This window comes from Homo sapiens, chromosome 3 (genome assembly GCF_000001405.40).
Source record: "Homo sapiens chromosome 3, GRCh38.p14 Primary Assembly".
In the NCBI taxonomy this organism is placed as follows: Eukaryota; Metazoa; Chordata; class Mammalia; order Primates; family Hominidae; genus Homo; species Homo sapiens.
Window position 1 is genome coordinate 11553313 of NC_000003.12, and position 16862 is coordinate 11570174.

The 16862-nt window shown below is 54.9% G+C and overlaps 2 protein-coding genes across 28 annotated transcripts in view; one reads left to right on the forward strand and one right to left on the reverse strand.

The window, feature by feature from the left end:
• The window catches only part of ATG7 (autophagy related 7), a 303957-nt gene that overhangs the window by 280916 nt on the left and 6179 nt on the right, over window positions 1-16862 (forward strand). For 10 of the 13 annotated variants that reach the window (NM_001349232.2, NM_001349233.2, NM_001349235.2 and 7 more), the window contains one exon: window positions 1499-4353. In NM_001349232.2, the coding sequence (NP_001336161.1) occupies window positions 1499-1531 (33 nt within the window). In that variant the 3' untranslated portion in view covers window positions 1532-4353. Of the gene's footprint in view, window positions 1-1498; window positions 4354-10946; window positions 12530-16862 lie in introns of those variants that run through there. The other 3 variants (XR_007095622.1, XR_007095623.1, NM_001349238.2) reach the window with 3 other exon arrangements.
• Window positions 2755-16862, reverse strand: part of VGLL4 (vestigial like family member 4) — a 165749-nt gene continuing 151641 nt past the window's right edge. For 7 of the 15 annotated variants that reach the window (XM_047449259.1, XM_024453835.2, XM_024453836.2 and 4 more), the window contains 3 exons: window positions 11485-11707; window positions 6020-6143; window positions 2755-5515 (listed from right to left, as the gene is read on the reverse strand). In XM_047449259.1, coding sequence (XP_047305215.1) covers window positions 5244-5515; window positions 6020-6143; window positions 11485-11707 — 619 coding nt within the window. In that variant the 3' untranslated portion in view covers window positions 2755-5243. Of the gene's footprint in view, window positions 5556-6019; window positions 6144-11484; window positions 11708-15292; window positions 15487-16862 lie in introns of those variants that run through there. The other 8 variants (NM_014667.4, NM_001284390.2, NM_001128219.3 and 5 more) reach the window with 3 other exon arrangements.

The following is a 16862-nucleotide window of genomic DNA, read 5'->3' on the forward strand; positions in this document are numbered from 1 at the left end:
AGTGAAAGAGGGAGTATTCGCAGCAGGTCTACACAGCGTGTGGCACAGAGCTGGCTACATGAATGTGTGTTCGTTGAATGGGAGAGTGAAAGAATGGATGGATTGTGCTGGCAAACCCTCCAGGGGCTCAGTTTCTTCCACTCGGACCATCAGAACCCAGAGATCAGATCCAGGAGCTCCTAAATGCAACCTTTGTTAGAAACACAGCTCCCCTGCCCTGCACTGCTCAGTCCCACCCTGGGGGAGTTTCCAGCCGCACTGAGGATGAGCTCGGTGGGGACCTGACCCAGAGATAGGGACACCTGGTCACTGGACCGCAGACCGGCCCATCCACAGCCTGGCTGGGCTGGCATCTAGACCTCGCTTGGCAGTCCCCTCCCAAGAGCTCAGATAGTTTGGCCTCGGGAGACAGGGGCAGTGAGAAGGCTGCCTCCCCTCAGCCTGGGAGCTGGGTCCTCAGGAGAGAGGAAATTTCCTTCTATTTATTTTCGACATCCTCGACTTTGAAAGCCAAGCTGGTGTTGATATTTACCTTGGCCAGGCCTCCCATCTCCCCGGGCCAGCCTCGTGTAAACATGCTGTTCCTTCTCTCAGCTCTGCTAGCACTGAGGTGGCCTTTTGCAACCAATTCTAGGAATTTGGAAGTCTGAAGGCGTAGGTTCAGGGACTGGCCCTCCAGGGAGCCCTGGGTGCCAGGGGCCCTGGGACCTGCTGTGCTGGCCTTGGGCTCTCTCCCTGGGGGCTGACACCAAGGACTGCAGGGAATGAATGGGCCTGGGCCCATGGGGGTGTCGGCCAGGGTGGCTCTTGCTGGGTCCCTCAGTTCTCCTCACAGCCACGTTGGGGCCTCCTGCTCCCCAGGTTCACTGCGAGGCTCAGACTCGGAGGACACGCATTGAGGGACTGTGGCAGGATCTGGCTGTCTCCACTGTCTTTGCTCCAGGCCACCTCCACCCTGGCTGGTGGGGAGGGCTTGCTCTTGAGCCAGCTCTCTAGTGTGAGTTGGGAGTGTGGGCAGCTGGACTACAGTTAGAGGGAACATGGAGCAGGTGCCCAGGGTGCAGCCTCCCAAGGCAGCACGTGCCCATGCCAGAATTCCTGCCCTCAGGGAGCTTGCCTTCCAGAGGGCAGGTGGACCACAAGGAGAACAAGCTGGCTTGGGGTGGGGGTGAGTGCTGCAGAAGCCAGGATGAGCAGAGGCTGGCTGGGTCAGGGACGGTCCCCCGAGGTGGACATGCAGGAGGTGAGCAGAGGCACATTCCCCAGTGCAAATCCCAGCCCTCCCCTGTTGGTTCCACCAGGTGGTTCACACACTAGTGACGCCTTGGCAAGTCTGAGATTTGGTTTCCTTGTACAGAAATGGGGTGACAGTCCCTCAGAAACAAGGGAGTGGTTCTGCAGGTGGGAGCTGCCATGACTGCTGCGGTTTTGAAGCATCTGTGTGCCCCCCACCGGGCAGTGGGACATCTCGGCTGAGCCTCTCCCCTTCTCCATGCAGATCTGGGACATGAGCGATGATGAGACCATCTGAGATGGCCCCGCTGTGGGGCTGACTTCTCCCCGGCCGCCTGCTGAGGAGCTCTCCATCGCCAGAGCAGGACTGCTGACCCCAGGCCTGGTGATTCTGGGCCCCTCCTCCATACCCCGAGGTCTGGGATTCCCCCCTCTGCTGCCCAGGAGTGGCCAGTGTTCGGCGTTGCTCGGGATTCAAGATACCACCAGTTCAGAGCTAAATAATAACCTTGGCCTTGGCCTTGCTATTGACCTGGGACTTGGTCCTCCATGCAGTTTTTATTTCTTGTCACAGTGACTGATAGCCATCCCCCAGGATCCTTTCCCCTTGGCCCTGAGGGGGTGACCCAACACAGACCAAATGGGGAAATGAGCAACCAGCTCCTGCCCAGAGCCACTGCGGGAGGTGGCACCCTCATCCCCGGAATGTGCTGCCCACCGCACCGCAGGCTCCTCCTGTGGGGGCCCTGGGCATGGGTGAGGGTGGGACCCCGTGAGCGCACTGCACCCTGGCCCTGGTGGAGCGGGAGGAGGAGGAGAGCCGAGCTGGGTACGAGACTAAAGGGCCCACATGACCCAGTGACGCCAGATTTCCACCAAGGACTGAGTGAGCTGCTCAGACATGGCTTTCTGCCTCCCAGCCTGTCCTCCACTGTGGGCATAGCATCTGTGCCTGCCTGCCTGCTTGAGGGAGAGGAGTTTCTGCTGCTGCCTTGAGCTGGGGGGAAGAGCCCAGGGGCAGATCCTGGCAGCTGCCTGGATGGGGCTCCTCCCTGCCCTTATGAGCAGGCCAGGCCCAGAAAGGCCGAGCCTGGGCTGCCTTCCTGCCCCAGCCGAGGGAGGGGTCAGACGGCTCTACCATGGGTAACTCAGGCAAGAGCTGGTTTTCCTCTTTATTCTGGGTGTGTGCAGCTGTGAGGCCCCAACCCAGGAGAGGCCATGGCCTAGGTACCTGTGACCACCCTGCCCCCGTGTAGAGGGCATCGTCTTTCCTGCTATTTTATTCTTTCAGCTTTTGTCTTAGGCCCAGAATCAAAGTGAAAATTGAGTCGAGCTGACCCTTACAACAGTAGGATTTAGTAGGGTAGATTTCAAATGAGGCTTCGCTTCTCCCAAAGTAGCCAGTCCAAGTTCCAGTGGCTGTCGTTCAGCTCATGGGAGCTTCATGGGGACACAGCCGGCACAGGTGCAGGGCCCGAGTCCGCCCACCCAGCCTGGCGCTGAAACTGCACACGTACACTATGTGGTTTAAGAGCACTTTATTATTGTTCTTAAGGCTACTTTTAAGTACAAAAAAAGATGGCCTGCCAAACCTTTTTTTTTCTTCTTCCAGGAAAAACAGGCCACAGAGAATGGTATATTACAGATTTACACACATGAAGAGAAGGTCAGAGCGCACTGCAGGCAGCGCGGCTCTGGGAAGAACTTCACGGAGCCCCTTCTTAGAGCAGGGAGGGGGCTTTCTCAGTGAAATGTTTGGTTTTCTGCTGCCTCCTCTGCCCCAGGCCCCCCTCCAGGGTACTGCCTATCCCAGATAGGTCAGTGCACCAGGGACCCGGCCGCCAGCACCGCCGACCCCTCCCAGAGTGACGCCCTTGTTCACTGACAAAGAGACCTGTCCCAGGAGTGTCCTCCACCGAGCCGGTCAGCTGTGGGTGGTTTTCCTGTTACGACGCTCAGTAGCCTGTAGCAATAACAAACTCGTGGCTATGAATGCAGATGCAGTGTTCTCATAGAATAACTGTTCCTGCACTTTTACAGACAAATCTACGACAAAAAAAAAGATCAACTTTTTTTTTCCGAACAACAAAAAAAATGAATGATTACAATAGGAAAGGGAAAAATTAAATAGCTACATATCATTAACAAATTAATGTTCTTCAAAAAATACCTACAAATTTCTCTGTACATTCTTTACGCACAGCGTAACGATGGTCTCAAAATCACCCATATAGAAAAGTGTTCTCAACGATTTTTCCTACAGAAAATATAGGGGCCTGAATGCCAAAGCTTGGAAGCCCAGTACAGTGGGAGTGAAATGTGTGCGGGGCAAGGAGAAGGGCTTTTCTTTCCTCCACTTTTCAAAGGCCTGCAGCCACTCTGTGACTACAAGAGCCAGTCCTCCGACCTTTTCACCCAGTGCCAATTTCCAAAATTCAACAGCTAAAAACTGTAAAACCGGGGGTCATACGGTGTGCAGAGTCCACAAAGCCTTGCAGGTGAGGTGACCACGCCCACGTCACCTGGTCAGGTGCCATCGTCGTGAGCCTCTGGTGGGCCAGGTGGGACACAGCACACCCCAGGGGGAGGGGATAGAAACGCTCATTGACCAAAAAGGAGCAGCTGTGACCTCCACAGCTGTGTCTGTCATGCTTGCTTCATCTAATTTCTAGTTAGTAGCTATTAATATAGCAAATAATAAATGCAGTAATAACAGTATAAAGTCAGAGGAATGTATACTGCCTTGGCCCCAGCGTACGAGGAAGCGTATAAAACACCATATCACAGATTGTCTGTCAGTAATCTGCTGTTCAGCCAAGAGAGTTCAAAGGGAGCAGTTTCTGCATGTAGGGAAGTTGGAAGACACAAACCCCACCTCCCCTGGGAGCTTGTAACAAAGCAGACAGGGATGCAAAAATAAATGATGTCAGCCTGCAGCCAAACTCCAGCATCCCACACCGCAGCTGACCCACTGCTCATCGCGAGGGCCTGCCAGGAGCTGGCCTCCCGCACTACTTGTGAGTAAAGTGAATATCAAATACCAATCTTAGAGTACAACTGTACCAGCAGTAAGTATATCTAGGACTGTAACTGACAAAAATAAACTAATTCTGAAAAGAAGATAGTAAGTATTAAGGTTTTTGTTTACTGTCTATATAATTAATAGAAACCAGCTATTTTTTCTCCATTAAAACATGCATCACGTTTAAAGCACTATGGAATCCTCCAACCTCAGCTCTAGTCTAACAAACTGCAGTGTTCAGAGAAGATAAAATGCCCGTGATTGGTAGAGTCTGCAGTCCAGTTGCAAGCACCTGAAATCTAGAGAGAGAAAGACCTATAACCTGTATGAGACTTCCCCTTCCAAAGCTGTATTGTCTACATTAAAAAAAACAAAAACAGTAACAACAACAAACACACAAATGGTCAGAAATGTCATCCTTAAACCCTTTGTTTTTCAGCAGTTTGCCCTCAGAGTTCTGGCATAACACATAAAGTTGTCAGGCAACTTTAGTCCTCCTCCAATAGTGCAAATCAGACACGACAGTTCTCTTCAAGTATACACACGCACACACATGGACCGAACCAAACACGCCGTGGAAGCTGAGCCACACACACCCCGGTCTCAAGAAGCAAAGGAAAAAGCACAAAGCGTCTGAGTCACCAATTCATCATGGCTTGTGACTGAGAAAGCGCTGTGGAGTCCTGGCCCCGTCGGGGCAGCAGACCTGCATCAGAGGTTTCTTTGGTAACTGAGGCAGGAAGTAAGGATGCTACATTAGACAGATGTTCCACGCGTAGTTCCTGCTATCATGTTTGAGGGCCCCCTTGTACGGATACCAAGCAAGTACAAAAACAGAACACAAATCCCAACAACATGGTTTTTGCAAATAAACCATCCCTTCCCTTCCCCCCACCCCACCCCCATGATTTTTTTTTTTTTAAGTACTGACTGTTCAAAGCTCAGGCAAACCATGCAGATCCACGTGTTGTTGGAGGAGGCGCTCCCTTCAGGAGACCACAGAGGGGGAGTGACTGTGGCTGACCATGTGGGCAGAGGGGCTGGCGGGCTGGCCCCTGCGAGAGGCGGACTCAGGGCTGCTGGATGCTCCGTCCTTGGCCGCTTTGATCTGGAGCCACGTGTCACCCAGAGCTTTGGCAAAGTGGTCGTCCACGGAGCCCGTGATGGACACGGAGTTGGGTGCCGGCTCGGGCTCCTTGTAATTCTTGCCCAGGCTCCTGCGGAAATGCTCCTCCACCACGGGGTCACAGGTGGTGGCAGCTGCAGGCAAGCAGGAAGGCAGGCAGTCAGACACAGGTGGCTGCAGACAGACAGGCACGGTTGCAGCACCCTCCCTCAGGCAGCCCAGAGCCGGACTGGCTGCCACGGTCAGCGTGGGCTCTGCAGACAGAACCCACCTCCCCCGGCTAAGTCAGGCACTTGGGCAGGTCACTTTTCTGTAAAATGGTGATGTACCAACTGCACTGGGCCAGAGTCCGAGTTCAGAAAGAGAATGTGGCATTAAATTTAAATAACAGTAGCCGCTGCCCTCCCTGCAACTAGGGCATGAGACCCTGGAACTGAGCGAGGCGGTGTGTTTCTCATGCCCTTCCCACCCAAGTCATGCGCAACGCTAGGCGCACACTGGACGTGCTCAAGAAATACTTTTTCAACCTCAGCAATAGATGGGCTCAGGGGCGAGAGGTTTCAGCCAACAGCATGACAGAGAAGGGCTCTGCTGCCACTAGCACAGCTGTGACAGGTGAGGAGGCCCGGGACACTCACCGCTCGGTGGCCTCCGGTAGCTGGCAGGCCCGGGCGCGGCACAGCCGCTGTGCGCGATGGGGCAGTGCGAGAGGTTGCAGTTGCGGGCGCCAGCCGAGGCACAGGTGATCACGGAGGGCCGGTTCTGCGGGGAGGAGGGGTGTCAGTATGTGGAGACCAGCTTCAGTACCGGGCACCACCCCTGGGGCCCTCCCCAGCACCCTTCAGGCTCTGTCCTGGTGCCCTTCCTGACCCAGTCTGCCACCTCCCACTTCAATACTGGAGTCCTGTTGCTAAACACAGCCAATCCACAGAGTGAGCGCAGCTCCAAGGGTGTGTGTAGTGGCCCTTGGTCGTGGCTGTTTGGATCAGTGAGGGTACAAAGGACAAAAGCTCAACTGTTGAGTTGGTCTGTCCCCATCTCTCAAATCTGTTAAGACAAACACCGGGCATCCTGTGGAGGACAGAGGGTTGCAGGAGGGACCTCGATTCTCCCGTTAACGTCCCCAGAGCCCTTCCCATCATGTCCACTGAGCCGCGGGTGTGCCTGGAGCCATCCAGGACACTTCAATACACGGCAATTAACTGGAAGCATTTTGCTTGAGCCAAAGCCAGCTCGAGTTGGCCTCAGTGATGACCTACAAATCGGGACAGAGAGGAAATGGAGGAAATATGCCTAAGTGTGGAACGGCACACATCCCACCCCAGCCCGATCTGCCCTGTGCACAGCCTCACTCTCTCCTTCACCCCCACCCCCACGCTGTCTGCCTGGCAAACTCCCCTTGTTCCTTCAAGCCCTGTTCAGATCTCTCTCTGAAGCCTTTCACTGGCCACCGCCCCACCACCACCGCTTTTCACTCCTGCTCCCCTAACCCACCAAGATTCAGCAAGTGCATCGGTCTGTCCAGGTGCTCCCGTAAGACCATGCACACCAGGCAGTATGTCTGGCCCCCCAGCTTTGGTGTGGAACCTGGGACAGAAAATATTTGTGAACTAAACAGAACTTCCTCAGGTTCCCCCAGGAAAAGTATCTTCCAATACCCCCGAGGACAAGGTGGTGGAGTATGTGGGCTAAGTTCCAGGACAGCCAGCAAGGAGCTGGTTGAAATCACCCCACAGGGACCAATGGTGACAGCAGTGTCAGCCAGAGGGACGCTGGGCCTTATCCTCCCCAGCCAGCCCTTTCCATTAAAGTTAGAGCAGTAGCTGGTATAAAGACACAAAAGGCTTGCATGCCAGACCTTCTCATGATAGACGACAGTGATTGGGAATGGTGAAAGTGGATTCTAGGATGAAAATGTGGATCCACAAGGATGAACTGGGATTGAACACAAGGACCTGTGCTTGGGTCTAACAAGAAGCGACACATGCCAGGGTAGGGGGGGATGTGGCTTAGCAACAGCAGACCAACCAAGAATTCAGGGTTTCTTAGTGGCCCGACACTTAGCAGCGGGACAGAGCTGCCCAGGGTTCGTACGGCCTCCATGGTGTGCACAGGTGGCAGCGCAGAGAGAACCCGGGCAGGTGGAGCTGGGCTGAATGTCCACGTTCTGCCTGTGGACAGGGCCTCGGGTGAGAGACTTCACAATGCTGAGCAGACAGGCTCGGAAAGGGGGTTGGGGACCGACAGATGAGGCCTGGAGCAGATCTCACACTGGCTGACCACAGGGGTCAAGCAGCAGCAAGAGAGCAGAATACCGAGACCTGGACACGCACAGAGCCAGGAGGAAGGAGGGCCCTGCCCCTGTCCAGCTCTCAGAGATGGCCAGGCCCTTCCTGAGCCTGGCTGCACCCATGACCTTGGGCTCTAGGAGACCCCCCCCCAGGGTCCTCCCAATAAAACTCCCTTTTGTGCTCAGCCGGCTTGTTCTTTGCAGCGAGCGTGTCCTGACCCACGCAAATGTGGGGAACTGGGGAGACATTTCGAGCACAGGGAGGGGGAATCAAGGAAGATGAAGAAATGAGCTCACTGTCCAGCCTTTATGTCAGTCTATCCAAGGCAGGAAAGGCCACTTCAGAAGAGACTCTCTAACAAGGGACCAGCAGGGCAGGCTGGCTGACTGGTATCAGACCACCTTCAGGGCATCTCCTGACCTGAGCTGGGGCGAATTGCCTTAACCGGTCACCTGCAGATGTGAAGATGTTCAGTGTCTGGGCATCCTCTCCTCCTCCCCACAACCCAGGCTGCAGGGTGGCCCGTGAGCCCTCGTGGGACTGGCTCCACCACCCCTCCTCCCCAGCTGGAGTCAGGCATCTTGCCCCTGCCTCTGTGGTTGAGTGCAGGCTGGGACTCGTCCACCTAGAACGGGCCCCAGGCCTCCAGATGGTGAGCGTTTATGGGATCCCGAGGCTCCCCTCCCCCACACCCTTATTTTCCAGATGGGGAAAATGAAGGCCAGAAACACCCTGTTGGAAGTTACGCTGCGGATTTGTGGCAGGGCCAGTATGAGCCCTGTCACTAACCCCTTCACCCGCTGTCCCACCCACCTGTGACTGTCCTCAGACAGAGGCTGCCCCGGGGGAGAGGGCTCCCACCACCTCTCCTATCTGAAAGCAACCCCCAAGGCTGGCTGCGCCAAACTTTTTTTTTTTTTTTTTTTTTTTTTAAAGACAAAGTCTCACTCTGTCGTCCAGGCTGGAGTGCAGTGACGCGATCTTGGCTCATTGCAAGCTCCGCCTTCCGGGTTCAAGCGATTCTCCTGTCAGCCTCCCGAGTAGCTGGGATTACAGGCACCCACCACCACGCCTGGCTAATTTTTGTACTTTTAGTAAAAACAGGGTTTCACCATGTTGGCCAGGCTGGTCTCGAAATCCTGGCCTCAAGTGATCCGCCGCCTCAACCCCCCAAAGGGCTGGGATTACAGGTGTGAGCCACTGTGCCCAGCCCTCAATGTGCGAAGCTTAACCCCATCTTGCCTCTCCTCACTGGCTGCTGCCCAAGGCCACCCTCTTGGTGTTTGTCTGTCCTGAGCTGCTATCACAAACATGAAATGGGGGGACACTTTCTGTAGCCTCCCCATACATGCCCCTCTGGGAACTTTCCTGTCCCAGTTCCCAGAGATCTGAGACACATTTTCTGCCACACAGAGGAAGGCTTCCACCGTGCCCACCCCACAGGGCTGCAGCATGCGTCCTGCCTGCCTGTGGACACAGAGCTTTGCTGTCACCCCAGGAAGCCCCCTCCCCACTGCCATTTCCCTGGCTCTGAGCTGCAGGATGACACCCAACAGACTTCCAGGAAGAGACCTCGGAGCTGCTGGAGCACAGGCAACGTGGCTGCTTGGTGTCCTCAGCAGGGCGCCCGAGCCCAGCTCGGATTGGTGTGCATGGCCTCAGCCCCGCCACGCTGCCGCAGGAAGGAGCCCCACGAATGGTTACGACATGAATGACATGTGCTGACAGCAGCCACGGCAAGGAGGGCAGGACTGACCAACCCCAGCCGAAAATGACAGCTCCGGTCAGGGCCACTGTGCCCTTCCCAGGAAAATGGGCAGCTTGGGGTACCCCGTGGCCCCTGGCTTTGTCCTCAGTCCAGGCCAGGATCCCATAAAGATATAGCTGGGGGGTCGAGGTTCTTCCTCCTAGGAAAGCTGCTCAGGAGCCCCAAGGCACAAGGAGGGGCCCTTGCCACGTGTGCCGTGGGCAGCCAGGCCCATTCCAGGCTGGGGAGAGGGAGACAGGGTAAAGAGAGTCAGGCCACTCTGTTCAGCAGTTCAGTTTTTGCAAAGCAACTGTGACCGAAAACCAACTGCAAGATTCTCAAGAGCCCTGAAGAGTCAAGGAAATAAATCATCCAAGAACACACTAAGCCCGCCAAGGGCCCACCCTGACCATGTGGGCAGAGATAGCTTGTAAGGCTCACAGTTATGTCCCCCAGGTCATCAAGGGCCAGAGGCTGGATGTGGGTGCTCCGAGATTACAGCTGAATCCTCCCCTCCATACCCGTGTCCTTCAGGGACTCCCCAACAGCAGTGGCAATGGCCAGAGAGCCAGGTTCTGCCTGCACGGTTCAGGCCATGGCTCATGGCAGCATTACAATGCCTGTTGAGCTTCCCAAAGCAGAAAGGTCCACTGCCCACCCCGGGGAGCAGTGAGCGGGTCCCTGTGGGTCGCACTGCGCACACGCCTCTGTTCCAGCCCCTGCTGCTGCCCAACAGCACAATCCTCTCTTCTCATGTCCATTTCCCCAATTAGACTGGGAGCTCCCTGTGGCCGTGACAGTGTCCACACACACGTCTCTGGCTGCCCACAGCTCTGCTCTGCAGAGGGCTGGGTAAATGGTGAGCGCTCGTAAAACGTTGAAATGAACAGCAGTGATAACTTGGCCTCGGGTTCCATCAGACACATCAGCGATCTCTCCTCCAGACTAAAACTGAGCGTGCTGAGAACAAAAACTGCATCTTGCTTGACTGGCTTCTGGTACCCCCTGGCACACAGCAGGGGTCTGTGCCATTTTGTTAAATGGATGAATCAAACAAACAGGATTACCATGTCAGGCTCTGAGGCAAGATGGGCAACTGTTCTCAGCTTCACCAGGATTCCCAAGCACCAGAACCACCTCTCCCAACTCCCAGGGCCTACCCCACCCACAGTTTCAACAGACCCCATCAGACACGGACACCAGGCAGTGCCACTTGGAGGGAAGCCCCGGTGAGGCCACAGGGACACAGAGGCTCTTGCAGCTGAATGCACAGAGCCCGGAGGCACCCCCTCGGGGCACGGCACCATCCTCTCTGTCAGTCTTAGCAAATGCTGACTACTGACTAAGGACCTATTAGGTCGCAGTCCCTGGAGATTCGGAGAGCTCAAGCAGTAATTTTGAGCCTCCTCAATGCTGCTGCCTTCTCCCATATATTTCCCCAGGAACCCCATTTTTAAAAAGATTTGTTTCTACCAAGCAAGCTGTGTTTATTAAGCAATCATTTAATTTCCTATTTTCCTTTCATAGAAAAAAATCCCTATGTACCAATCATAGGCTTCTGACCAGCATGGGCTCACAACCCTGTGACCATCAACTGTGCAGGACCCCAGCCCAAGGCAAAGCAACCTGACATTTCCCTTCATCCGCGTGACCGTCTAAAGGAGAAACGTAGGACCCCCCCACCCGAGGATGACTACATTCATCCTAAGAGAATCAGGCCTGCCACAGAAGACTGCTGGAGGAAACACCTCAGTACACCACCCCTGTACTGGGAGAGGAAAGAGATGAAGCCCCAGTGACATTCACCTTGCCCAAGGCCGTGAGTGCTAAGAGGCAAGGCCCGGGCAGGTCTGGGCAGGAAGTAAAAGCAGAAGAGGACTCCTGTTCTGCTGTCCCTTGTCCCAAGTGCACAACAGAGGCGAAGGGTGGCATCCCTCACCACCTCCCTCCCTCACCACCTCCCTCCCTCACCACCGCCCTCGGAGTCCTCTGCTCGGGGCTCTCCATCCAGCCCAGTCCCCCAGCCCCTGGACTCCCCACGCCACCCTCCCAGACAGAGGCCCACCTGCTGCCGCTCCCCCGGGGTCAGTGTGGGCGAGAGGCCGGCTGGCCTGCTGGCGTCCAGGCTGTTCTTGGTCAGTGCGAGGGGCTGCTCCAGGCCAAGGCTGGGGAGGGAGGTGTACAGGTGGCTGCCGTGCAGGCTCATGGTGGGGGCCACAGCGCGCTCGATGGGGCTGCGGCTCCGCTCCCGGGGGTCTCTGCGGCAGTCTCCATTGGCAGTCTTGTTCCTGAAAAAGAGGAATGGGCATTCAGGGGGCGTTTTCTCAAAGGCAAAGGGGACAGTGACTGTGCGCCAGGCACTCCGTGTTGCTTATTTAATTTTTTACCCTGAAGCTCAGGTCGTGTGGCTGGGCAGCACGATGAGGAGCCGGTTGCCAGCCCGGGTCAGCCGGACACCAAAGCCTCTGGGTGCCGGAGAAGCTGCTGCCAGCGGAGTCCAAAGTCAGCTCCATAGAAGATGGAGCCCCCGACTCAGTGGCGTCCTCTGCCTGACTCTGTGTTCACTTCTATAATAATCTCCACTCCCTGGGAGCCTGGGGAGCTGGAGGCCAAGCTGGTTCGATAAGGACCTGCCATTTGGACAGGACGGGGACGCTGACAACGATCCAGAGTCACTGGCTGCGTCCTACATGCAGGGCCCTATTCAAAGCCTCCACAGCACTGCTCAGCCCATCTTCCTCACAGTACTGCTCAGCCCGTCTTCCTAACAGCACTAAGCAGGCAATGCTGCCACCATCCCCTTTCCAGACCAGAACCCCAAGACTCAAGAGTGGTGGAATAATCAGCTCAGACTCCCAGCTGACATGTGGTGGCACGTGCTCTGGGGTTCCCGGGGTGCTGTAGGGAGCCGGCGCGCAGCTCTCTCGTCCAGGACACACGAGCAGGAGTGACCTGCGTCCAGAAGGTCCATCACTAGCCCTGGCCATGTGCTGAGCACCCAGGCGATGCCACGTGGAATCCAGGTGAGACAGTCAGCACCACCTCCATCTGATGTGTTAGTCTGAAGGCAGCGTTACGTGTTGCATCTATTAGACACCAACCCCACACAGGTAAGCCATGGCCAGCCCTGGTCCACCCTCCCTGCTTTATTCCAGGGGTCCCACAGTTCCATCTGCCTTGGGTCTTGCCCCTTCAATCCACCATATTATCCGCTGACAGAGTAACCTTTTTCCGTAACTCATGAGCTGGTCATTTAAAGAAAAAGGTGGTGAATTATGATTTGAGTGAATTTTAAGAAATACAAATTATTTTCAGAGTCTACAAGTAGTCACCTGTCTTAACTAGCAGAAAAGCCTAGGCCTGCCCTGGTGAAGCAGCAGCCACAGCCCCCGTCCCGGACTGGCTGAATATGTTACACACACAATGAATGTTACACACACAATGTTACGCATGCACACAGAATGTTACACACACACTGAATGTTACACACACGCACACCACACACACACACGCATGTGATAGGCGTACCTTTCTAAAACTGTAGATTAACTTCAGTTGTAAGAAACAACACACGGCCATCCCATGCACCCTTTACCTTGACTCCCGCGATGGTGACATCTTGTAAAACTACAGTACAATATCACAACCAGGATATCGACAATGAGACAACTACCAACCTTATTCAGATTTCGTGTTTTGCTTGTATCCATTCCAGAGCAATCTCTTTATAAGGCAAATCCAACCACATCCAGCCCTTAGTGAATGTTTTTAGCAGCTCAGCACGGGCCTTGGTAGCCTCTGGGCCTGACCACCTTCCCGTCCTCATCTCTGGCTTCACGCCTCCAAATGTTGTGTTCCGTAGTTCCAACCATCTACTTGCCATTCCTCAAATAAGATGCGGCCACTCTCTGCCTCTGTGGCTGTGTACACGCGGTGCCGCTCTAGCCTCCCTCCTCCCCGTCCTGCGCTGCCAACCACAGCTGCAGTGTAGAATCCCAAGGCGCCCCGTGCAAACCTTTAATACAGAATCCATCCCCCACCGTCAATGATCTCTTCGTCTACGCACCCGCCCCTCCTCACACACGGCAGCCTCTGAGGGCGTCGAGTCCCTCCTGTCTCATTACGCTTGCTACCAGGGGTGCACAGAGACTTAACGGGTGAATGAAGAGAAGCAGCATATGGGTGACCGTGTAAGAAAGGCAGGTATCGTGGAGTGGAACTGTGGGTGGGCAGAATCATGGAGAGCTGGAGGGCTGAGGAGTCAACTGGAGGCGCATTCAAGCCTTTAGATGGACCCTGCGGCCCAGTCGGTGAGCTGCTAAGGGCTGAGCAGGAGAAGCACCAGAGGGGGCCTGAGTGCAGCCTCGGCTGTGATGTTGTGATGTCATTCTGCGCCATCTCCAGCAGGGGCACGCGCTCAGCTTAGTGACCCGAGGCGTTCCGAGCCTCGGCGTCCCCATGTAACCATGTGGTCACAGTAAGATCCACCCAGAGGACTCTAAATGGGGGACAAACAGCACACAAACAAAAACAATCAGAGCGGCGCAGTGCAGCCCTCAGTGAGCGCCAAGAGAACCCTGTCAGCCCTAAACCGAGTATATTGATTATAGGGTGATTAGCTGTACAGGACCCAGTATTCGTTTATGGGGTTTTTTTCTTCCCCTTTATTTTCTGGCTGATGATACAGAATATCTTAAAAGCAATTAAGGATTAAATGTTCAGCCCATTAAGACAATCATGGAAGAGAATGTTCTGGCAGAGTCTAGATAGTAGGTTCCATCCACGCCACACACATCCTGGCGATTTTCAAAACGTTAAAATACTAAAAACCTTAATACTGAAACCAGCCTGTCCATAATGTCATCTGTCTGTGGCGATTCAGAAGACAGCACAGGTTTCTGCAATGAATGCCTCAAGGGTTATGATCCCAGACACCGATGTCACCAGAAGACCTTCCGCGGAACGGACGTCAGGCCAAGCAGTCCTGAGATCTGCTGGCTTCTACCTAAACGGGACTTGGTTCCTGAATACTCAGTTCATCAGTGTCACCACACATCCTCATCTTCAGTGTCCCGCTCCCTTCTAAATTCAGATAAAGATACAATTTTATTGTTAACAACATGAGTGAATGGCTTCTCTCCACCCCAGGTGATGCTTCCACGGGCCACTTCATGAAGTGCATAGACCTGGGGGCTCATGTCCCAGATTCAGGAGAGCCTCAGACACAGTCTGCCTCCGAATTTAGACGTCTGTTTACTCAACCAGCGCTAGTTAAGTCCCTGTTCTGTGGAGGTTCCAGAACTGCAGGGTTACAGCCCTGCCTTCTCATGGGCTTACAATCTAGCAGGGACAGAAAGGCCCGGGAGGGGCTGCAGCTCCCAAGTGACAGCTCTGGATCCGGGCAAGGATAAAGACACCCCCGGGTGGCATGGAGGAGCAGACTAAAGGTCAGGCGTCTGCCCATGTCCAAAGCCAAAGTCGTGGTACATAAGGCACTGCCCACCCCTCGCACCTTATGTCCTAGGGGCACGGCACAGTCACGCAGATGACTCAGCTGCGCCTTAGGAAATCCAAGCATGACTATGAGACCACATCACAGAGGAAAGGGGTGCCAGGGCCGCCAGCTGCCAGGGCAGAGGTAAGGACGGGGCAGCCCTGCACCTAAATCTGCCATCTATGCTCCCACAGCCCCACTGTGCGCCCACCCTACGCAGGGCAGCAGGGAGAAGGGGACTTCCAGGCCCACTAACTGGAAAGACAGTCCGTGGAACACAGCACAGTGGGCACTATGGGTCAGACAAAGACACTGAAAACAGCGAGAAAAGGCCTGGAGAACTGGCTGGTTAATTTTAGTAAAATTATACATTACTCACATTTCCAGCTCATTTTCCTGGTTCCCGGAGCTTCAAGACAGACATTGTTTTCCAGGCCCCGCTCGCCCGGATGAATCACCTCCCGGCCACTGCTTCCCAGGCGTCATGTGCTCCCGGGGACGGCAGAAAACCGCACGCATCCTGCCCGGGAGATGGAAGTCGCCTCCGCTCCTGGTCAGGACTGTGCCCGAGAGAGCCCACGGCATCCCCGCGAACACCCAAAGGACTCTGAGTGGCTCCGTGCCAGGCCTATCAGAGCCGCTGAGGCTGCACGGCACCCGGCCCCGCCCCGGGCCTCATCCCCATCCTAGGCGGGCACTTCCACTGCCAGCTGCCCACGGAGAGAAAGATGGAAAGAGGAGGGAGGGAAAGAGAGGCCTACAACACCATCATCCAGGACAGAGCTTTCTGAGTACTGAAAGCCACACGCTCTCTAAGCTAAGAAACCAAGAATGTCCATAACATCTGGGGAAAAGTAAACCAGATTCCAAGCAGTGACATTGAAAGAATCCATCACGTGAAAGAAGTGCACTGCGTCTATTTGATACTCATTAAAATGAGTTTCCCACCCTCCAACAAACGTGCTTTGGGATGCTTAGCCCTTAGCCCCATCACCTGACGTTCTGAGCCTGCGCTGGGCTTCATTCACCGTGGACTGCCACAAGCTACACTGATCTGAGTCTGAGTTCCTCTGCCTGGGGAGGGGGTATGGGTACAAGACATTTTGAGGATACATTCTGGGGTCCCCAAAGGCCCCTGAGCACCATGGCATGGCAGGTGCTCCCACCCAGTGAAAGAGATGAGGCCCAGGGCAGCCTTGGGCCCTGGCCTCCCAAAAACCAACATCCTGAGGCGGCAAAGCAGCCCGTCCCCATGCCAGGCGTTGCCTGGCAGGAGTAGAATGAAGGCTATGCAGAGACATCCCCCAAGCACCAGAGTCCAGGTGGAGACAAGAGATTCAAAGGAGGAGGGGCCGGCACAGGGCCAGTGAGTGGGCCGGGACACAGCCCCATCTCCAGCCCTTTCGTCCTCTCTCTCCCACCGCAGCAGTTACAGGAGAATCCGACATCTGAGAACTGGCAGGACAGCCAGTCGTTCACACAGTCTTAACACATCATAATGAGACTGCTGGCTGGGCATGGTGACGTGCACCTGTGGTCCCAGCTACTTGGAGGCTGAAGTGGGAGGATCACCTGGGCCCAGGAGGTGGAGGCTACAGTGAGCCATGGTCACGCCACTGCACTTTAGCCTGGGTGACAGAGCAAGACCCTGTCTTTAAATAAATAAGATTGCTAGCACATCTTTAATCTTAAAAAGCTTCCTCAGAAAACAGACTTAATGCCACTGAAGGGTGCCCTGAAACCTGGTTAAAGTGGTCAGCTGTATGCTCTGCTAATTTACTACAGCTTTTTAAATAATAAAATTTTACCTGAATAATATAGACAGAACTTCCTCCCAACCTTTACCTGCTGCCCCCTGGGGTTTCTGATGTGCACAGGGCAGGTCAGCACCATCCCAGTTTTACAGAAGAGATGACCAAGGTGGAGAAGATGAAGGCTTTGCCTAGACA